At 37.9% G+C, this 24,087-nt stretch overlaps 1 long non-coding RNA gene across 3 annotated transcripts in view; it reads left to right on the forward strand.

The window, feature by feature from the left end:
* The window catches only part of LOC124902327 (uncharacterized), a 100,784-nt gene that overhangs the window by 70,885 nt on the left and 5,812 nt on the right, over nucleotides 1-24,087 (forward strand). The window contains exon 1 of one of the 3 annotated variants that reach the window (XR_007061896.1): nucleotides 9,327-9,590. The exons of the other annotated variants lie outside the window; for them this stretch is intronic. This is a non-coding gene — a long non-coding RNA (uncharacterized LOC124902327). Of the gene's footprint in view, nucleotides 1-9,326; nucleotides 9,591-24,087 lie in introns of those variants that run through there. 3 annotated transcript variants of the gene reach the window in all.

Consider the following 24,087-nt stretch of genomic DNA (forward strand, 5'->3'; position numbering starts at 1 on the left):
GGGCACCCCATGTCACAGTCAAATTGACACATAAAATTAACCACCAGAATTAACAGGAACAGAAAAAAAACTTTGAAGTTTGCCAGATTACATGGTGAAACAGGATGAGTAGAAAAATACTTATCCAAAAATAGTATGTTGGAGAAAGAGAAGCAATCGCCTATATTTAGGCCCTGAATTAGATACTCTTTGTCTGATAGATAGGGCAATGTCAGCTTAGAAACATCTGGCATGTCAGGTATTATATTCAAAGCAATAGGATATTGGGAAGACATGCATATTTCTAAGGAAGAGAGAAACTTAGAGTGGGACTTAATGACTGTTCTCTCTGAGATATGATTTATTAAAATTCTTTCCAGTATAATTACTCATAAATATGGGAAATCAACTGCAATTTACTCCCAGGAATCAATCAGTGCCTTTTCTTGCTAGATCGATCCCTTGTGGGCTGCTGATCACTATTCCTGGATTTGGACCAGTGATGCAGAGTGCATTCATTATTCATTCACTTATTCCTTCAATAAATATTTGTGAAATGCCTACTCAGTGACAACATGGTGGTGGTATGGCTGCCGATTTAATAGGAAACAGCACATGGCTTCCAGTCTCTTGAGCTAAGAGAATGGGAAGTATGGGGGAAGGCAGGGGACACAAATTTGTGTGTCCAAAGAATGTGATGTAGGGTCTGTAGAGTAGCTGGCTAAATTTGTAACTGCCCAAATGGGTTCACCTTACCTGCTGCCTAGACAGAGACAAGTTATCAAGAAAGGGGAAATACAATAGAGAAAGAGTAATTCACGCAGAGCTGGCTGTGCAGGAGACCAGAGTTTTATTATTACTCAAGTCAGTATCCCGAACATTTGGGGATCAGAGTTTATTTTATTTTATTTTATTTTTTTGGGAGACGGAGTCTTGCCGTCGCACAGGCTGGAGTGCAGTGATGCAATCTCGGCTCACTGCAACCTCTGCCTCCCGGGTTCAAGCAATTCTCTTGCCTCATCCTCCCGAGTAGCTGGTACTACAGGCGCACGCTGCCACGCCTGACTAATTTTTTGTATTTTAGTAGAGACGGGGTTTCACCGTGTTGCCCAGGCTGATCTCGAACTCCTGAGCTCAGGCAATCCGCCCGCCTCTGCCTCCCAAAGTGCTAGGATTACAGGTATGAGCCGCCTGGCCCAGACGGATCAGTTTTTAAGGACAACTTGGTGGGCAGGAAGTCCCAGTGAGTGCTGGAGTGCCAGGAGTGCTGATTGGTTCAGGTCAGAGATGAAGTCATAGGGAGTGGAAGCTGTCTTTATGTGCTGAGTCAGTTCCTAAGAGCAGATGAGCCAGTTTATGGATCTGGGTGGCACCAGCTGATCTCTCAAGTGCAGGGTCTGCAAAATGTTTCACACACTTATCTTAGGAGCAGTTTAGGGAGGGTCAGAATCTTGTAGCCTCCAGCTGTATGACTCCTGCACCATAGTTTCTAATCTTGTGGAGAATTTGTTAGTCCTGCAAAGGCAGTCTAATCCCCAGGCAAAAAGGAGGTTTGTTTTAGGAAAGGGCTATTATCATTTTTGTTTTATACTATAAACTATAAACTAAGTTCCTCCCAAAGTTAGTTCAGCCTACGCCCAGGACAGCTTGGAGGTTAGAGGCAAGATGGAATTGGTTAGGTCAGATCTCTTTCACTGCTTCAGTTACAATTTTGTAACGGCGGCTTCAAGTTGTGTGTAGATCATAAAGTGTGTGTTGACTACATGAAAAGTAAACAATAATAAAGAGTTGAGACTAAATCCTAGGAGAAATACGGAGCTATTAGAAGTTTTTAAGCAAGAGGAGGACATGGTCATATTTATGTTTTAGATGGAGCACTTTGTCTGTAGTACAGACAGAGATAAAAATCAGGCAAGATTGGAAGCTGGGAGATAGGGGCTGTTGCAACAATTTAGACAGCAAAGGTTACAGATCGTGTACGTTTCATAGGTTACATATTTTGGGGCCTTTTAAAAAAATACAAAATTTTGAATGCAAAATTAGATGTGAAGCTCTAGAAGGGGTCTTAAGACTCATGAGTTTTATTCTACATCCACCTTTAGATCCAGTGAAGTAGTTTACGTGGTCTGAACTATGGTGGGGGCAGTAGGAATGAAGAAAGATGAATGAAAGGAAATCTGAAAAGGAACTTGGTGATTGGATGTGCAAGGTGAGGGGAGAGAACTATCAAGGACCATGCTTAGTTTTCTGTCTTGTGCAATCAATTGGCTCGATGAAGGAAGGGTCTGTTCATTGAGACAGGAAACACAGGAGGCAGAGTAGATTTTGGTGGCAATATGGGAAGTGAAGTTTTGCACCCAGGCAAAGTAGAAGTGATTGTGAAATATTCAGGTGTGAAGCTCAAGATAGTGAAATTATCCTACTTCTGATGAGGCTCAATTAATTTTGGCAACTTGGGTGTTCAGCATCCTGAGGATGAATGTAATGCCCCATCAAGTGTGGCTCCCAAAGTAGGTGTAGATTTAAATTTTGCATAATCCGTAGTTCAGTGATTATTGCCTTGAAGCCCTATTGCCTAGGTCTGAAAACTAATGCTGGGTTATGTAGGACTCTTACTGTTTTTCTCACCCTTACTGTGGTGCCTTTCAGGATGATTTTTTTTCCTGGTCATGTTGCACTGTAATACTGGGACATGTGCTGCTTAGCTAGCAGGTTACCCTGAAGGCTTTTAGTTCATTGGGGAGGATGAATTTTTGGTTGTATGTGTAGGGTTTCTGTAATGTAGGTCAGTGTCTGAGCTCCCTTTGATTGTTAATCCATAGTCTTCAACTGATTATGCAACCCACGGAGGACCTGATAAATATAATGTTTTAAAGTTCAGCAGCAAATTTCCTTCTCCGTTGTCCTTTGATTTGAAAATGGCTGACAAATTTTTCTTACAGTTTTTATGAAAGTGAAGACAGATATGACTACCAACGAATATAAAAATCTCCCCACCAGGAAAGTTTTAGACTGTCATCAAATGACTTAATATAGGAGATAATAATAGAGTCTGTTTTGCAACCTAAAATATAGTATTTTCTACTATGAACACTGTAATTACTATTTACAGCTAGATTATAGGGAAATCTGTGGGTGTCATGGAATTCAGTTTAAAATTATGGAAACTCTGTTTGCATAATTAAAAGGCTAGTTAATAAATTCCCTCCTATTTTCTAACCTATTTAAGCAGATCATATATGTACCAATATTTCTCTGCTAACTATGGTAGAGAAGACAACCAACTTTAAATCTTCTGTTGCTGAATAATACCCATAATAACTGTGTATAATATATGGCTCATAATTAGTGAATATGCTGAGCTTTTTCAAGAAATGCATTAGATATGGCATAGATACAAATTTCTGCTTCATTAAATGACTTTATGGACTATATTTTGCTGCTTTTGCACATGTGATCTTTTCCCCTGTTTGATAGCAAGATTACTTTACAGCTCCTTAATGAGAATATCTTTTTTTTTCTGAAACCTTTTCTGAAGTTTTATTGAAGCTCTGGGTGACCTATTTCTAACGGTTTTAGAGCTCTAACATTTTCTCTCCCTTATTTAAGTAGCTTTAACTTATGTTTGATTAGTGGTTTTAGAAGTAGATTCATAATCTAATTTTAGGATGAAAATCTTTTCTTACAGGAGAAAACAAATTTAAAAATAACCTTACATGTCACAAGGTGCCTATGGATTATGGAAATGGCTCACATTCCCGGGGCACTTATTGGGTAAAGAGGGTGAAAGCCAGAGATGACTTCTCTTAGTTGCATTTTATTCTTAGTTGCATTTCTGCAGGAAAATTTCTCTTTATTAAGAGGACTAGAAAATAAGTTCATTGATGGGTCTAAGGAATGACTGCAATACAATGTTAGGTGCTGTGATGTCATAGTAGTATAGAAGCAGAGATGAGATGCTAATACCGGGTATTTGTAGAATGGGTGGGAGGTTTCCAGGTGTCCAGGTGTCCCATATTTAAGGAAGCTTAATATTCACATTTGAATTTTGGAGCAGCTATGACTTAAATATCAAGAAATATTGTGATAAATGATTTGAGCCCTGAAAGATAAATAGGAATTTACCTACCACAGAAGATGGAAAAAGGCTGGAGCAAAAATTTAGAGGCAACAATTCATATTATAATTTTTTTAGTTAGAGTAAATTTTAATTTTAGTTCTAAAAGAAATCCACACACTTTAGCAAACTGAAACAATACAGACATATGTAATGTAAAGAGGAAATATCTACTTTATGTTGTTGCCCTCCCTATCCCCAGCCTCTATTCATGCCTCTCTCCACATGTTTAGTGTCGATTCTCTGAGAGCTTTTCCTATGAGTTTACTCATTTACATATCTGTGTGTGTGCATGCATGTGTGTATGTAATTAGTTTCATTGTTATGTAACTTGCATCACTCAATATGCCTTATCGACCATTTCCTGTTAGTGCATTTCAGTCTACTCTATACATTTTAAGAACTACCTATCAACATGGTATAAATATACCATAATTTATTTAACCATAGCCATATATAAGGTGTTTACAATTGCTATGGACTGAAAATCACCCCGTCTGTAATTTTTATGTTGAAATCTTAACCCCCAGGGTGATAGTATTAGGAGGTGGGACCTTTGGGAGGAGATCAGGTCATGAAACTGGAGCCCTGCTGAATGGGATTGGTGCCCTTATCAAAAAGTTGGCAAAGGATATGAACAGACACTTCTGAAAAGAAGACATTTATGGAACCAAAAGAATATGAAAAAATGCTCATCATCACTGGCCATCAGAGAAATGCAAATCAAAACCACAATGAGATACCATCTCACACCGGTTAGAATGGCGATCATTAAAAAGTCAGGAAACAACAGGTGCTGGAGAGGATGTGGAGAAATAGGAACACTTTTACACTGTTGGTGTGACTGTAAACTAGTTCAACCGTTGTGGAAGTCAGTGTGGCGATTCCTCAGGGATCTAGAACTAGAAATACCATTTGACCCAGCCATCCTATTACTGGGTATATACCCAAAGGATTATAAATCATGCTGCTATAAAGACACATGCACACGTATGTTTATTGTGGCACTATTTACTCTAGCAAAGACTTGGAACCAACCTGAATGTCCAACAATGATAGACTGGATTAAGAAAATGTGGCACATATACACCATGGAATACTATGCAGCCATAAAGAATGATGAGTTCATGTCCTTTGTAGGGACATGGATGAAGCTGGAAACCATCATTCTCAGCAAACTATCGCACGGACAAAAAACCAAACACTGCATGTTCTCACTCATAGATGGGAATTGAACAATGAGAACACATGGACACAGGAAGGGGAACATCACACACCGGGGCCTGTTGTGGGGTTGGGGGAGGGGGGAGGGATAGCATTAGGAGAGATACCTAATGCTAAATGACGAGTTAATGGGTGCAGCACACCAACATGGCACATGTATACATATGTAACTAACCTGCACATTGTGCACATGTACCCTAAAACTTAAAGTATAATAATAATAAAATAAAAAAAAAAGAGGACCAAGGGAGTCATTTACCCTTTCTGCCATGTGAGGACACTGTGAAAAGAAGGCTCTCTATGAACCAGGAAGGGGGCCCTCACCAGATAGTGAATCTGCGGGTGCCTTGATCCTGGAATTACCTTTCCGTACTGTGAGAAGTAAATTTATGCTGCTTATAAGCTATGCCATTTATGGTATTTTGTTATAGCAGCCTGAATGAAATAAGACAACTCTTTTTCTATATTACAAATAATTCTGCAATGAACTTCTATATCCATAATTATCTCCTAATTTATTCCTCTATTTTTCTTTCCTTTCCCTCTTTTTTCCTTCTCTATCTTCACTCACTCTCTCCATCACACTCTCACATTTATCTAAACAAAATCTTTGTGCACATTTGTATTTCTGTAGAATGGATCCTGGAAGTGGAATTGCTAGAACAATTTAAATATTGATATGTATTCCTGAATTTCCCTTCCGAAAACTCTGTACCAGCTTACACTTCCATCAAAATTTGGTCGGGTTTATTTCATCATTAATCATGGATATCTTTGCGTTTTCGATGGGAAAAAATGATAAATAGTATTTAAATCTTTTTGTTGTTTCTCCTAAAATGGTGAATTTGAATTTGAACATCTTTTCACATGTATTTTGGCCCAGTGAATTTCCTTAATTTTTCTTGTTGATTTTTACACTAAATTATTTTAAAAATGATTTTTAGAACATCTTTATTCAGTTTGGCTATTATAATTTTTTTCTGCTGTATGTTTTGCAAATATGTCCTTTAAGAAATGTTTATTTTCTATATTTTTTTTTGTGGTAGAGAAATTTTTAATTTTGATCTAGTCAAATCTGTCATTTTTTTCCTTAATTTTTTCTGTATTATTTCTTTTATGTCTCTTGCCTAAGAAGGACTTTTTCAGATCAAGATTATAAAAATATTCTTAAATTTTTTTTTGTATTTTCATAGGTTTTTTTTTTACTTTAGGTTTGAATTCACATGGAATTTAATTTTAATTTGTATATAACATAGGGTATGGCTGAGATCTAGGTAATCACCACATCGATCTCATTTTCTTTGTATGTACATAGTTAGATTTTATTTCCCAGTCTTCTGTGCAGTTGGGTGAGGCCCTATGACTAAACTGTACCATGGAATGAGAATAGAAGTAATGTATACCACTTCTAGTCTTGGCTCATAAAAATCTTTCAAGAGAGATCCTCTGTGTCTATCCTCTTCCCAAATGGTCTTGGAGGCCAGGTGTTGAAGATGATAGAGTCAAATTTGAAAGAGTTTAGATCCCAGAATTACCACTTAGAGAAGAGTCATACACCAATCAGGAATATCCATTTTTGACTCTATGTGAGCAAGAGAGAAACTTCTTTCAATAGCTTTAAGCCACTGAGATTTTAGGGTTTATCTTTCATAGCATTTACATAATCAATACACAGAGTAAGATTGTGACTTAACTTTTTCCAACTGTCAGGTCAATTGTCGTAACACACTTTATTTAATAGCTTGCCATATACTCTGTAATTTGAAATTCTACTTTTAGCATATTCTATATTTTCATAATTTTAGGAGTGATTCTAGATTCTGTTTTGTTTTATTGAGCTACGCATTTATTCCTGCAACAATGCCATGATATTTTAACCACTACGGCTTTGTAATTTTTCCTGGTATCTGGTAGCAGAATTAGCTTTTAAAATTGAGGCGTGTCTTGTTCCTTTAAAGTCTTTCTGTGACTCTTAGAATACAATAGAAAATCTCTAACATGATCTCTAAAGCCCTGCATGATTTAGCCACTGTCTGTCTTTCTAGATGTATCCCTCCTTCTCTGCTTCTCAGCTGCTTTAATTTTCTGAAAATGTAAAGTATCTTAGGACCTCTGGACCTTCACAAATGGAAGTTTCACAAATATTTTTCCATTTGCCTGAAAGAGTTGAGTGTATCCAGATAAACTCTTGCTCCCATATGACTTTGATCTGTTATGTAAAGAGAGAGAAGTCATTACTGATTCCATGTAGTCATGAAGACATTCTTAAGTATAAATAACTTAAGGACATGTGAGGTCACATGGAAAGGAAGAACTTGACTTGGAGAATTTTGAATTTTTTTCCATATCTGACCCATAGATGAATCAGTTCTCCACTGACATCACATGTTTCTCATCATGTAAATAAAAAATGATGAATATCAAAGTTTTCTTTAGAAACCCTGGAGACATTGATTGTACACTATGTTGTGTGTGGTGTAAGTATGAAATTTAATGGAACTTTTAAGTGTATGGCTTACAAATAATTAACAAATAATTTCGATGTCTAATCTTATTGCATTAACTATAGGCCTGTTCAAGAGCAAAAATAACACTGTATGTAAGTTTTACATAAAATTATAGACCTTTTCCACCTAGGGGTACCGTCTGTCTCAAGCTCCTATATATTGCTGTATAAGTGAAGGTTCTGGCAGCAAATAGCACCTCAAACAGTGTAACTGAAGAGTGTTTTATAGGAGATGACAGACAATGGTGTGGGGAGGGGAAAAAGAAATGAATAAGAGATGGTGCAGTGCTCCAGAGTTGGTACTGATGGGGTCCTGTTACCAGCCCCAAACCTGAGAGAATCAGGAGAGAGAGAAGTTACTGGAAGTTGAAGGCCAGGCCACCTGACAGGGACCATCCCTTTAGTATAGGTGCTTAACTAACCTGCGGTGACGTGGCAGAGAGAGCCATAGGAATCAATCCTTGCTCCTGTTCTCTTTCTACTCTATGGTCTTCTGCTGGAGTCTTCTGTTGGTCAAACCCAACTGGAAGCTAAAGGGGAAGGTAGCCGCATTAATAAGGGCTGTTAAGCTCTTGAGGTTCAAAGCTGGGTAACTAAGGATAGAGAAAATTTGGAGGGAGAAAAGAAAATATCCTGCACACTCTGATGTATCTTGAATTTATGTTTTTAGGATTCATATAGGATGAAGATTAATTTCACATATTTCCAAGTTCCAAATCAATACTTACAACACTATCTGTTGAGCTTGACTTTCCATATTACTTTCTGAACCCCTTCGAAATTATTATGCATAATAGAGTATGTTCTGGAGTATGTGGTCTGGGATATGTTTTTCACTGTTTTGTAGTAGTTTTATAAAATGCTTATTTGATTGGATAAGACTTTCCTATATTTTTTTCCAGATTTAAGAGTTTCTTTTAGCATTTAATATAGATCTAGATGATTAAGTGTTTTCAAACTATATAAAAAAATAACTTGTTTCTCTGCTGTGTGTTGTACTTTTACAAATATGTGGAGCATTGTATCTAGTGTGTTATAGGCATAGGTAAACAGTAAAGTATGGCTGAATAAATGAATATACATTTATTTAAGAATATATTGAAGTATATATGTTCAAAAATACTAGAATAAAGCAATGTATACTACAGTTAAGATTGGAAGACATTACATGACATTTACTTAAATAAAGACAGATTTATACACGGAAATAACAGGATGAATGGTTCTCATGTAAATAGGAAAGACCAAACAAAGTGTTTACTGATACACTTGATATTATTAAATACATCATATAAAAGATTCTTACCAGAATGTAAAAGGGGACACATGTAAATTGGATTTCATATCCAGATACAAGGGTACCTCAAGGTGTCTGGGCACTTCTGCCAGTATCAGCTCCAGAGAGAATTCAGGTACTAGGTGTCTAGTACAGGACTGCTCCAAGATGCAGAAGGGATTCTGAACTTCTCAGGGGAAGGGGGATGCCTTCAAAGCTTCTGTTTTATCTATCTAGGTCATTTCTATTACTCCCCTCAACTCCTTATCTTATTGAATTATCTCTCTTATCCACCTTTAAAAATTTAGCTTATGTTTATACCACTTAATCTTTTCTTTTACAAATTCTTTCTCAATCTGCAGTCTATGTCCTCAGTGTTCCTATAAATTCTTGGGCTGGTGGCATCACCATATCATCATCCTCCTCATCATCATCACAGTTGTGATCACCATCAGAGGCTGATATTTGTTCAAATTACTATGTACCAGGTATTTGGCTAAATAATTTATATGAGTTATCTCATTTAATTTTTACAATGAAGTAGATATTATAAGTATTCCTGATTTAGAGATACACATTGCATACTGTTTATAATCTGTTCGACTCATCTTCCTCTCTCAACAGTAAGTTCATTGAGGCCTTCAGTACATCCTTTATCTTGTATCTTTATATCCCTGGCCTTAAGAATAGTGATCAGTACATGGAGTTATACTCCAAATATTTGAATGAATGTTGGTTTAGTCTATTTTGATTTAATTTCTAGACATAGATTTTATATGATCATTTAAAAATAGAGTGACACTTTGCTTCCTATGCAAAGCCACAACATTTCTGGAACAATAATTTATTTTATTAAATCCACTAAAATATTTGTCAAATTAAAATAAAATCCCTCTTGGGTTTTAGTTCTCTGTTCTCTATGTGTATTTAATTCAAATTGGATGAAAGACTGATGATCATGGATTTCTGCTATTGAAGAAAATGGAATAAAAGACTTCTTGGCAAAACAGTCAGTTTTTTAACTTGCAAATTAAATTATAGTGTAGATTTGCTATCTTGCCCCCATTAACTTCTTGCCCTCTTTGGCTATCTGAGTCCCGTGGGGATCAGATTTCCCGTAGCCCAGTATAACATGCTATTGATCACCCCTTCTGCTTTGCCACTTTCACCTTCCAGTACAAATTGGCCTGTGTCAAGTGGAGGAGGAACGTGGAGGGGGAAGATAATTAATTTACCCTCACATTGAAATTAGATGCATTCTAAAAGGAGGCAATCATCTGGGCTTGGATCCCTGAGGATCTACCAATTTTGGGTTGTAAATTCCTCAGCTAACTTATTCTAAAGTATCAGGAGCATAAGTAAATACATTTTTCATACATCTGTGTGTACTGGGGTGAAAAGGATTGGATGGTACCCTGAAGTAGAACCTAGCAGTGACCTTTTCAAAGTTTTTACACAGTTTTAGTCACATGGTGTCTTGAAGTTGAAATTATGTACTCTCAAAATATTGGAAACTTCTTTGAAACCATGGAAACAGCATGTGAGATGGGGGATGACTGGACAGCAGAATAAGACCTTCCTATTATGACTATTGTTCTTTCACTATGAATATCTAAAAGTGTATCTTCATAAGTCACTTTCTTCTAGTTATAGCTTTGAGAACATCAGTGCTTTTAGAATCAAAGATATTGTCACAAAAGGAAGCGCAAGCCATGGAACTGTTTATAATATGATTATAAACAATTCTTTCTCTAATACTTATAGTTCTGCTTTCATGCTAAATAATGTATTTGAAGATTTGAGTCAGTAATCTTCCTAAGCAGAGTGACAGGAGCCTCCAAGGCATATATACAAGGCTGTTTCACTATTCTGCAGCATTTCAGAGTGCCTGTTATTTAACGCAATACAGATAAATTAACATGCAATAAAGCTTCCAGTAGTGATACTAATTTACAACAATGGTAGAACAAAAATGTTGTTAATAATTGTAATTCTTCCAGAGGGTTTACTTCTCATTTCACTCTATTATGGCAGTGAAAATGTGTTTAGGGAGTAACAGAGTACCGTTCTCCAGAACCCAGTAGCAGTCCTCTTAACGTTATACGTGTGGTGAATCCCTAAAATTTAAAATACTCCCTGAACTTTTCTTTTTCTTTTTTTTTTTTGTTGTTGTTGTTGCTGTTGTTGTTGTTGTTGTGTCTCTGCCAAGTTTTGGAATCAAGATGATGCTGGCCTCACAGAATGAGTTAGGGAGGAGTTTCTCCTGAATTTTTTGCAGTGCTTTCAGTAGGAATGGTATTAGCTCTTCTTTATACAGATGATAAAATTAAGTTCTGAATCCATCTGGTCCCAGGCTTTTTTTTGTTTGGCAGGCTTTTTATTACTGATTCAATTTCAGTACTCATTATTGGCCAGTTCAGGGATTCCATTGCTTCCTGGTTCAGTCTTGGGAGGTTATATGTGTCCAGGAATTAATCAATTCTTCTAGGTTTCTAGCTTGTGTCCATAGTGGTGTTCATAGTAGTTTCTGAGGGGTTTTTTTTTTTCCTGTGGGGTCAGTGGTAACATCCCGTTTGTCATTTTTGATTGCGTTTATTTTGGATCTTCTGTTTTCTTTATTAGTATAGCTAGTGGTCTATCTATCTTAATAATTTTTTTCAGAAAACAAACTCCAGGATTTGCTGATCTTTTGTATGGTTTTCACTTCTCAATTTCCTTCATTTCAGCTTTGATTTTGGTTACTTCTTGTCTTCTGCTAGCTTTGGGGTTGGTTTGCTCTTGTTTCTCTAATTCCTGTCGTTGTGATGTTACAGCGGTAATTTGAGATCTTTCTAACTTTTTGATGTGGGGGTTTAGTGTTATAAACTTCCTTCTTAACACTGCCTTAGCTGTAGGACTGGGCAAAAATTTCATGTCAAAGACAAAAACAAAGCTTGACAAATGGGACCTAATTAAACTAAGGGACTTCGGCACAGCGAAAGAAACTATCAACAGAGTAAACAGTCTACCAAATGGGAGAAAATATTTGCAAATTATGCATACAACAAACGTCTAATATCCAGAATCTATAAGGAATTTAAACAAATTCACAAGCAAAACATAAACAACCCAATTAAAAACTGGGCAAATGACATGAACAGACACTTTTCAGAAGAAGACATACACATGGTCCATAAGCATATGCAATAATGCTCAACATCACTAAGCATTAGATAAATGCAAACCAAAACCACAGTGAGATATCATCTCACACCAGTCAAAATGGCTATTACTGAAAAGTCAGAAAATAGCAGATGCTGGTGCAGTTACAGAGAAAATGGAATGCTTATACGCTGCTGGTAGGAATATAAGTTAGTTCAGCCCTTGTGGAAAGCAGTTTGGCAATTTTTGAAAGAACTTAAAACAGAATTACCATTTGATCCAGTTATCCCATGACTCAGTATATACCCAAAGAAATATAAAATGTTCTACCTTAAAGACACATGCATGCATGTGTTCACTGCAGCATTATCCACAATAGCAAAGACGTGGATCAACTTAAATGCCCATAGTTGATAGACTGGATAAAGAAAATACGGTACACATACACCGTGAAACACTATGCAGCCATAAAAAATGAATAAGATCATGTTCTTTGCAGGAATGTGGATGGAGCTTGAAGTCATTATCCTAAGTGAACTAACATTGAAAAAGAAAACCAACTACTGCATGTCCTCACTTGTATGTGGGAGCTAAACATTGAGTACATATGCATGCAAAGAAGGGAACAAGAGACATCAAGGCCTACCTGGTGGTGGAGGGTGGGAGGAGGATGAGGACGGAAAAACTGCCTTATCAGTTACTGGGTTTATTACCTGGGTGACGAAATAATCTTTACCTCAAACCCCTGAGACATGCAACTTACCTGTGTAACAAACCTGCACATGTACCCCTGAAGCTAAAATAAAAGTTAAAGATAAAAAATAAAAAAAGAAAATACTCCTTGAGAATGATGTGGGCAGTAGGGAAAAAATTTGGGTTCGTTATTGAAAAGCAATAATTTATGCATAAGGAGACCCCAATTGTTTTGATCTTGTATCTAAGTTATGTTTATCTCAGTGAATTCTTGGCCTAATGACCTTTCTATTCCTCAATTAACACATTTAGTAAGGATTATAGTATTGGTCAACCTCTCCATTTGGAAGAAAGTGGAATGCATAGATGAATTTGTCTTAGATGAGCAGCTTATTAATTTAGAGTAAAAGATATGTCACAACCAATTCTAGGACTAGGACATTTTCATTGCTGTCACTCATAGGTTATTTAAAAGGTGCTAAAAAACTTTGAAAAGTGAAGCAACTTGTATTAAAATCTGAATTAGTTCAGGTGACCTTCAGAAACCAATCACTTTAAATCACATTTCTACCTTGCTGTGATAAAAAAATCTGCATGTAATGGGAAAATTTAATCACTAATAACAGATATTTTTAGCTATATAAATCAGTTCAAAGAGCAATAATTGAGCATTGCTGTGTACCAGGCATATTGAAGGTAATCAAAATAAAGAAAACTTAGTGTCTGATCTTAGGCATTATTATTTAAGTAAACAAGCTGGATAAATCTTACTTCAAGGAGAGGACTCTAGGAAAGCCTTTTTTTTTTTTTTTTTTTTTTTTCAAATAAATGGAGTATGACTGGCTTTCTGGCTGCCAGAGAGGAGGATAGTAAATGGAGATTTTGCTCAGTGTTCCTATGATAGGTTAGTTGGGTTTGTGTGGGCTAACATATACCTCCAAAATACTGGGGAGCACATTCTGATCAGTCCAATAGTCAGCAATGTTACACAGAGAGGTCCTTCTGCTTGATGTGATGATTCCTTCTTTTTCAAACCATTGTCAACTTTTCTCTGGGGCCAACATAGCCTGGCGACAGGAAACAGCATACTAAATCCTGCCACTGTGACTGAACGTGGAGATAGAGAAATGCTTCGTAGGAAACCCAGATGCAAAGGTGTTTGCTTTCACAATTTCTAGAGGAAGAAGTTGACTGATCAACTGAAACTACCCAATTTGCTTAATCTTTTGAATTTTGTTCTTCTTATGCTTTCGATAACTACATTAAACAAGGTTAAACATCTCTAACCACCTGAGTATGAAAATGAGAAGGGGCTGGGTGCAGTGGCTAACGCCTATAATCCCAGCACTTTGGGAGGCCTAGGCAGGTGGGTCTCCTAAGGTCAGGAGTTCGAGACCAGCCTAGCCAACATGGTGAAACCTCATCTCTACTAAAAATACAAAAATTAGACAGGCATGGTGGCAGGTGCCTGTAATCCCAGCTTCTCAGGAGGCTGAGGCAGGAGAATTGCTTGAATCTGGGAGGTGGAGGTCGCAGTGAGCCAAGATTGCACCACTGCACTCCAGCCTGGGCACCAGAGTGATACTCTGTTTCAAAAAAAAAAAAAAAAAAGGAAAGAAAATGAGAAGGATGGGAACTTTGTCATATCTCTCTTTATCACCAGTGTTTGGCAAAGTGCCTGGCCCATAGCAGTGTTCAGTAAATGTATGATAAAAGTATGAAAGAAAGAATAAATGAATGAATGAATGAAGCCTGATTTGATCTAAGCCCCTTTAAATTCCATGTATAAATAAGATTAGCTTTTTTTACCTCCTTCAGCAGAAAAGACCAATGAATACAATCACTAATTGAAGTTCTCTTTGTTTGCCAACTTTTTAATTAATTGAAATTAGTATGACTCCTTGTCCTCTCAGTATCTTGAACAATTGTTGGCATATAATAGTGCTAATTGCTTGCATAAATAGATGAATGCTCTGGTGAAAGTAGACACTTTCATCATTTCCAATCCCTACACTCTAAATCCTGACCTATTATTTATATTTAAGTCCCTTATTTTCTATGAAGGCTCACCTCATCTCATTCTTTAACACAGTGGTTCTCCTTCCCTTGGACCTTGTGTAAACTATCTTTTTTATATTTTTTATTGGCATCTAGAAATGACGGTGATTTACCTTTTCTGCTTCTGGGAATTTATCATTAAGGCAAATTTTAAAATACTGGGCAAGTTCTTTTGAAAGATGTTTATTGCATTGTTATTTTTAAGAGTGAAGCTGCTATACCTTGCTTCAATAGCTTAAGAGTACAAAGTAAGATAAAATCTTTTAACTTCACATCCAACGCATCTGAGCTGCTATCCTGCTTTCTCTTCCCAGAGTTCCTCTTCCAAGTTGAGGACAAGGTGTCCAGGCATATTTATTGAGCCCATAAAAGTTGTTATTATAACTTCATGGAAAAAGATCTGTAAAATCTATTCACTTCATCAAAAGACTTGTTCTCTGTAGCTGTTAGTGTTGTCACCATGATACGGAATTACTTCTGAAAAAAGGAAGTTCAAAATTATGGCCTTGACCATTGCTGGAATCACCATGGTAAACAAGGAACCCAGCTGTTACCAACTTGGCAATTGTTTCTTTGTGTGCAGGGCCAGAAGATACTTTTCCTTCCCAGGTGACATTATTGTATGCTTGCTTCATACCAAAATATACATGGGCTCCCAAATGTTACAATTGTTAGTGACTAGCTCATTCAGTGCATGCACCTGGCTCTTTTTCCCAAGGCACACCATAGTGGCTGCATACTGAGGGGCTTCAGCCTCAGCCAAATGTTGCATAAACAGCTCTTTCTTACAAAATTCTAGAGCTCGAGGTTGGTCCAAAGTTTACATATTTTTTCAAATGAGTTTTCTCTTAGGGGCGCCTGTTTCTTTCCCATGATCTGGCTTCACATAGATTCTGATAGAGTTAAGCATCCTAAGGAAAAGGCTCTTCTTCTTTTAGAAATTTCCTTGACTGTATATAACTCTTTAGGGCAGCTGGCTTTGTGGGAGAGGAGCATTGCTTAATTCCATCAACTACCTGTATTTTAGGTCCTAGACACTTATATATTAAAAAAAATCTGCAATAGTCTTAGATAGATGCATGCTGCTTTATGTTGTAAACTGAAGCGTCATTCATTTTACCCTCTCCAAACCAAGGTTCTTTCCAAGGTAACTGATATCTTTACCAGGAAACTACTAACAACTTTTACACAATATTTTCCTCACTGAAATGTTGTAGGTAGCCTCACTTGGGACATTGCTACACTAGTATACAAAATGGAAACAATTCAAAGGTCCAAAAATAGGATCTTAAGCATGTAAAGTGGTTGGTACACTTATTCAATTTGATATTATGCAAGCATTAAAATTAAAGTTATGAAGACTTTATAATGATATTAAAAATGCTATGAGTTACTAAGTGATAGAAGCAGAGGTTAAGTCACAAATCTGTATACATTTCACTATCTATTCCAAGATACATAATGTAACCACTTTGACGTATTTTTAATTTTTGGAAGTCCATTACTAGAAAGTCCTGGATTGATCAAATGCACACACAAAATCTAGAGAATGACGTAATACAGTTCCTGGCTTTTCACCTCAAATCACTTTTAGGTCCATTATGAGTCCGTTTGGATGGAGATCAAGAAGTCTTTTCTGTCTTGGGCTGCTCTGTTTTCCTGTTCCCTTAATGTCCCATTATCTTCACTCTTTGGCTATTCAGGGTTAAACTTCTTGTTCCTCTTGGCTCACTGAAGTGCTGTTTAGTTTGCCATTTTTCTAAAAGCTGGTGCACGTATGTGTGTGTGTGTGTGTGTGTGTGTGTTTATCTCAAAGACACATCTCACTCCTGCCTTATGGACAAGCATCCATAATACAAACACATTTTTAAATACTAAGATAATCAACTTCTTAGAATGTCATTGTTCTCTTTGTTTTGCTTCTATTTTGCTAACGTGGTTGGGGTCTTTATGGACCCTTACATTTCTACAAAAACTAATGAGATAAGAAGGAAGCCCCATCTTCCCATATTTAGTAGGGGTGGGATCAGAAAGGAATCTTACCAGAATATTTATAGTACTTTTATTAGATAGCAAATTGCATTTCATTTTTCCATTTTTCCCTGATTTCCAAAGTGTATTTATGTTTTATATTACTTTCACGTCAAAGAAAAACATGCAAGAGGAAATTATGGAAACTTAGAGAATGAAAAAACTTTTTTTTTTTTATTGATAAGGAAGTTGAATTCCAGGTCAATTAAAAGAGGTATCCAAGGTAAGTGTTGATGACAAAACCTAAATTCTTAAAACAGCTCCACCATTTTCTAGCTTTATTACATAGAGAACTCTGTTTTCCTTTCCGCACCTCAGTTTTCTCATTTACGAAATGAGGCTAACTGGTTAGGTTGTGGTTTCTATGCAGTTTACCCATGATATGGCACATGTAAAGTGTTTAGCACCAATTCTGTCACATAATGGGTAATGGATACATGCTATTTCCCTTCCCTCCTGGTTGTATAAATTCCTGGTGCAGAGCCTTACCAGCATACCAGCAAGAATCCCCTCTTGAGTCACTGTAATTACTCTGCTTTATTAAACTTATATACAGTGTCTTCTGTTATGGGCTAAATTGTATCCACCCAAAATTTATATATTCAAGCCCTAACTCCCAGTACCTCAGAATGTGACATTGGAGGTAAGGCCTTTAAAAGGTAATGAGGGGCCTGACATGGTGGCTCATGCCTGTAATCCCTGCACTTTGGGAGGCCGAGGTGGGCGGATCTCTGGAAGCAAGAGTTCAAGACAAGCCTTGCCAACGTGGTGAAGTCCTGTTGAGAGGTGACAGCCTGCTGGCAGTCCTCACAGCCCTCGCTCGCTCTCGGCACCTCCTCTGCCTGGGCTCCCACTTTGGCGGCACTTGAGGAGCCCTTCAGCCCACCGCTGCACTGTGGGAGCCCCTTTCTGGGCTGGCCAAGGCCGAAGCCGGCTCCCTCAGCTTGCAGGGAGGTGTGGAGGGGGAGGCGCGAGCAGGAACCGGGGCTGCGTGCAGCGCTTGTGGGCCAGCTGGAGTTCCAGATGGGCGTGGGCTTGGCGGGCCCGCACTCAGAGCAGCGGGCCGCAACTAGGGGCTTAGCACCCGGGCCACCGGCTGCGGAGGATGTACTGGGTCCCCCAGCAGTGCCGGCCCACCGGTGCTGCGCTCGATTTCTCACCGGGCCTTAGCTGCCTTCCCGCGGGTAGGGCTCGGGACCTGCAGCCCGCCATGCTTGAGCCTCCCACCCCCTCCATGAGCTGTGTGTGGCCCGAGCCTCCACGATGAGCACCGCCCCCTGCTCCACAGCGCCCAGTCCCATCGACCACCCAGGGGCTGAGGAGTATGGGCGCATGGCACGGGACTGGCAGGCAGCTCCACCTGCAGCCCCGGTGCAGGACCCACTGGGTGAAGCCAGCTGGACTCCTGAGTCTGGTGGGGAGGTGGAGGACCTTTATGTATAGCTCAGGGATTGTAAATACACCAGTGGGCACTCTGTATCTAGCTCAAGGTTTGTAAACACACCAATCAGAACCCTGTGTCTAGCTCAGGGTTTGTGAATGCACCAATCCACACTCTGTATCTAGCTACTCTGGTGGGGCCTTGGAGTACCTTTGTGTGGACACTCTGTATCTAGCTAATCTGGTGGGGAGGTGGAGAACCTTTGTGTCTAGCTCAGGGATTGTAAACGCACCAATCAGCGCCCTGTCAAAACAGACCTCTGGGCTCTACCAATCAGCAGGATGTGGGTGGGGCCAGATAAGAGAATAAAATCAGGCTGCCCGAGCCAGCAGTGGCAACCCGCTTGGGTCTCCTTCCAGACTGTGGAAGCTTTGTTCTTTCTCTCTTTGCAATAAATCTTGCTGCTGCTCACTCTTTGGGTCCACACTGCCTTTATGAGCTGTAACACGCACCGCGAAGGTCTGCAGCTTCACTCCTGAAGCCAGGGAGACCAGGAGCCCACCGGGAGGAACGAACAATTCCAGACGCGCCACCTTAAGAGCTGTAACACTCACCGCGAAGGTCTGCACCTTCACTCCTGAGCCAGCGAGACCACGAACCCACCAGAAGGAAGAAACTCTGATCGCATCTGAACATCAGGAGGAACAAACTCCGGACACGCCGTCTTCAAGAACTGTAACACTCACCGCGAGGGTCCTCGGCTTCATTCTTGAAGTCAGTGAGACCAAGAACCCCCCAATTCCGGACACACTGTCTCTACTAAAAATATGGAATTAACCAGGCATGGTGGTGCACCTCTGTAGTCCCAGCTACTCGGGAGGCTGAGGCACAAGAATCCCTTGAACTGGGGAGGCGGAGGTTGCGGTGAACCGAGATTGTGCCACTGCTTTCCAGAGTGAGACTCCATCTCAAAAATAAAATAAAGTAAAATATTAAAAAATAAAATAAAAGGTGATTAGGTTAAAATGAAGGCATTAGGGTGGACACTAATACATTCTGACTGGTGCCCTTATAAAAGCAGAAAATTTGGTCACAGGGAGAGATACCAGGTAGTATGCACAGAGCAGAGACTATAGGAGACCACAGTGAGAAGGGGTCCAAAAAGAGATTTCTCAGGAGAAACTAGACCTACTGACACCCTCATCTTGGACTTCCAGCCTTCAGAGCTGAAAAATAAAGTTTTGGTGTTTAAGCCACCCAGTTCATGGTATTTTTGTAATGGCAGCCCAGGCAAACTAATACACCTTTCATCTTTAAATAAAAGTTAGACTGCTTAAAGGAAAATACTGCATTATACTCATTTGTAATGATAGCAAATGATCAATAATTTCCTGAAAAAACTGATTTTTATTAAGTGTGGAAACATTGTTTTATATTTCTTTGAGTTCTCCCATGGAGACCTAGCTATTGAGGTTATTGGCAACTATAATGTGATAATGAGGATTATCAGTAATCTTTTTTTTTCCTTTTGCAAAAAGTGAGTAGAATTGTGCTTTTTATGAAGTCATAGGAGTAAATTCATTTAGAGCTGAAAAGATTATTCCTTATTGCCTGTACAGACATAGGTAGAGATAATTAAATCTGTAAATGTAATTTCTAAAATTAAGATTAATGACCAGGAATGTATGATTCCCTCATATGCTGATGACCTCATGTTGTCTGAGGCTAAATGTTAGGGCTTCTCAATATCTTTGTATTAATGACTATGATTGAGTTATTTTAAATGTAGTCAGGATACAAGATTAACTTGTCTATGTTGGAAGTTTGTCTTGTATTTTTCAGAGGATCAAAAATAGGCAATCATAAAACGATAAAGTCAAAGGATTTTTTTACTGAGCTTTAAAAATTGCATTTGATTCTCATTTTTTGAATTGTGGGAAATGTGGGAAAAACTGAGTTATCTTAATTAATTTATGGAAGGGACATCAAGAGATGAAAAAGTTTTGCAAGGTTTTCAACATTTGCCAAGCCTAAAGCTCAAATGCAAAGTTAGCGTAAATGAGAAATGCTCTGAACAGTAGGTTATCAAGTTTATTAATGAGAAAAATGCAGAAAATAGTGCTTAAATAAGTGAGAAGGCTACTTCTTTCTGAGCAGAAATGTTGTTTGTATATCCTTTCAACAATGCAGGTACGTATATATGCATATATACAAGGAATATTTTTCTAATGTCTCATTATCTTAACTTGCTGAATAACCTTTGAATGTTAATTAAAACCTCAGAATCTCATTCACACATCTATAAATAAAAGATATTAAATAATCTTCAACATACCTTCTAACTCTAGAATTTTATAGTTTTATTGTATCCAGGGTTATGAATAAAAGAGGACAACAGATGCAGTGTCACTTAGGGAGGCTACTTGTCACACACATTCTGCTGGCACCTTAATGACAATCTCTGCAGAAGGGGCAGTGACTAACTTATGAGTTTGAACACCAAACCTATCCTTCAAATGGTGGGAGTTCTATTTCCTGCTGAATCTTCAGGACTAGAAGAATACTTGCAACACGGAAGACATCCAATACATTTGTCGGATAAAGGAACAGATTAATATTTCGAGTGCTTTTTGGATTGTTATACTCTATTGTGGTGTAATTTCCCATATTTTTAAGGGTCATGTTTACATATGTCTAGTCAATTATATTTCGCTAGAGAGCTAGAGAATTAGAGAAACATGATCACTTGTTGCTGCTAAACTAAACTAAATGATCTGAAACATCAGCAACATTTTAAAGAATCTTTTGTGGTGTTCCTCTCATATAGAAAACCAGAAAACTTTGTCTTGTCTTTCAATTTCTTCCTTCATATCTTCTATTTTCTTCTCTTATTTTTACCCAACTCTACTGTTGCTAGGGAAAGTATGTATTGTCTGAATGTAAACTCTATGAAGGCAGAGGCACTGGCTGTCTTTTGAATACACCTAGGACATTGCCTAGCAATGATGATACTAAAAGATATTTGTTTAATGAATGAATGGTAACATTTATAACCACAGAAAGATAAAATAATGTCTGGCTCACTTTTTACTAGTAATGGGGAAGGGTAGCCTGGAAGGAAGGGAGTCATGTATGTATGTACATTTATAATACATCAAGAGAGATATACTGTAATTTCCATTTTTTTTTTCAAAAAACAAGAACTCTTTGTGTCTCATTATTTTCTTGGTCAAGTTATAGTGAGAATGTTCATGAGAAAAAAAGGCCAAAATTTAAACTGCTCAAATTTCTAGCCATTCTTTTAAAAAGCTTGATTTCAAAAGGGTATATTGTAAATTTTAGCCATATGGAAAATAAGAATTGAAGACAACAGAATTATCCTCAGTATGAGTTGCCTCAGACATGGTTCTTCTAGAGGGTAGCTTAGCAATGGCCTTCCCCTCAGGTAATTATCACAACATTTCTGTGCATGTCTGAGTGTGGTGCACGCTTTCTGTAACTTAGGAGCCTGAGATAGCTGAAAAGCTATGCAAGTACAATAATCAGAATGGGAACCAGCCAGGCATTCTGACTCAAGAGGGATAAAAAGGAAATCAGCTGCCTAATGAGGCTCTTTCTTTACCCCCTGCCCTTGTGAAAAATAGAGGCTACAGTATTTCATTATGAATCTGTGTGCTTCGTTTCTCACCCTACCTTGGTTTGGGAATCAAAGGACATTTCTGTTAGGTCTCACCCTTGGAGCTCTCGTCCTTACTCATGCCTTGAACTATTATTACCTCTATGCAGGTGTCTTCCCAAATCTGTGTTTCAAGTCACATCTTCCTCAGCCCTTGTCGTCACTGTCCTGCATTCCAACTAAACAATTTTTATTTTTATATATTGCCTATTTTGACGTATAGGTGCAGACTTTAAAAGAGTCAAAATTATATACAATATTTCATTTTTTTCTCAAAAAGTAAATTATTAAACTTAATGAACTGGACTTTTATATTTTTCTTCTTAGCAGATGTGTTGCAAAAGATCAAACTTTTTTGTTTTTTTAGAAGTAGGGAGTGTCAGAGCAACTTGCTGGCTTTCTTTTTTTATTTCCTAAATAAAAGCACTGAGTAAGTGTGGCATGTACATCACTTTAATGTTGAGACTGCAGAGTCATATTGAAGAGATTTATTCTCTCCTTGAATTCGACTCTGAAAATAGCTTGTACTAACATCAGGAACTTTGCATCCTCATCTTCGTAATCATATGGTTCCTACAGTCAGATTTAAGACAGAGAGTTTATTGCAGCTGAAAAAATTATTTTAAAATGTGAAAGACTAGTTGTTTACTAAGACTTTTCCATAATACACGTGAAGTTTATATCCAAGAAGCATGTTTTTGATCAAGTATATCTAGGCATTATTTATATGTTTCAGAAATTCTTAAATATTTGTGTATATATGTCTCAGAAATTCTTAACTTTTATAAACTGCAACTTAGTCATTCTGGTTTTATATCAAGTCTTGCTGAGATATTTCCTTTACCTGCCCAAATCCTAGATTTAAATGAGTTTGAAATATATTTAATTTACACCCATCTATGTTATAAAAATATTTGAAAGGTATATGATCCATGGTGTTGAAACTTTACTTCTGCAGGGAATAATGTCCTTCTGGAGGGACTTTCTCACTTACAAGGTGATTTTCTCCACCACGGCTATCAATCCTTCCTTACCATGGTAGTAATGGTGGCAAAGGGAGGAGCTGAGTTTGTCTTTTTGGCCTTAGATTATCTAGATATGCATTTCTTCTTCTACAGCTATAGAAAGGAGATCATCTCCATTGCCATTTCTATACTGTAAGCATTCAAGACTCTGGACTTATTTTTGCCTAATTACATGGTTCCTCTCTACCTCAGTATGGTTGATTATGTATTCTATTTCCTTATGTAGTATGTCACACTGGCATCTCTCCATGAGGTAAGTGCTTTTCATCTACATAAAATGAGTCCCTTTTGCCATGGAGTTTCACCAGAAACTGACAACACTTGCCTATGGTTTAGCTGAACAACGTATATATTTTTATCATAAAAGATATCTTTTAAAAGTACTATATATTGAAATAGGAATCATTAAAATTTATTAAAAGAGATTTTAGAAGAGTTCCATGAAGATATTTGACAAGAATGTTTGACAGTATACTTTGGGAGAGACCGAAGTAAAGAATTCCTCTACATAAGTTTCTTGGGAACCTGAGGTTTTCTCTCCTGTGCTATATTTAGATGTGTGGCATGTCTAATTTTCTGCTTCCATGCCTCACTGTTCTTCTAGTGCTTATCGTAATCCAGCTAAAGTGTCAGGCCGAAGTGTGGAGAAAACATTCTGTCCTGAGTAAGCCAACTTGCAGCTGTATGAGGACCCTCTGTGCCAGTCACCGTCATCCTACCATTCACCCATGCATTCCTGACATTCTAAACAGAAGTCGATAAATGTTTTCTCAGTAAAGTAATTCTGAAAACTTAATTCTAAATGTTGTATTAACTTAGCAAGACTTGAAGTGCCTGGAATGCTGGCCATGTAACTTGGTTGATCAGAGGGTACCAGCTACCAGTTCAATTTAAATAAATGCAGTTCAGTTCAAGTCAGGCCAATTTGGTTCAATTAAACTCAATTCAATACACACCTATTGAGCACCTGCATGGCCAAA

Source organism: Homo sapiens, chromosome 9 (genome assembly GCF_000001405.40).
Source record: "Homo sapiens chromosome 9, GRCh38.p14 Primary Assembly".
Lineage (NCBI taxonomy): Eukaryota > Metazoa > Chordata > Mammalia > Primates > Hominidae > Homo > Homo sapiens.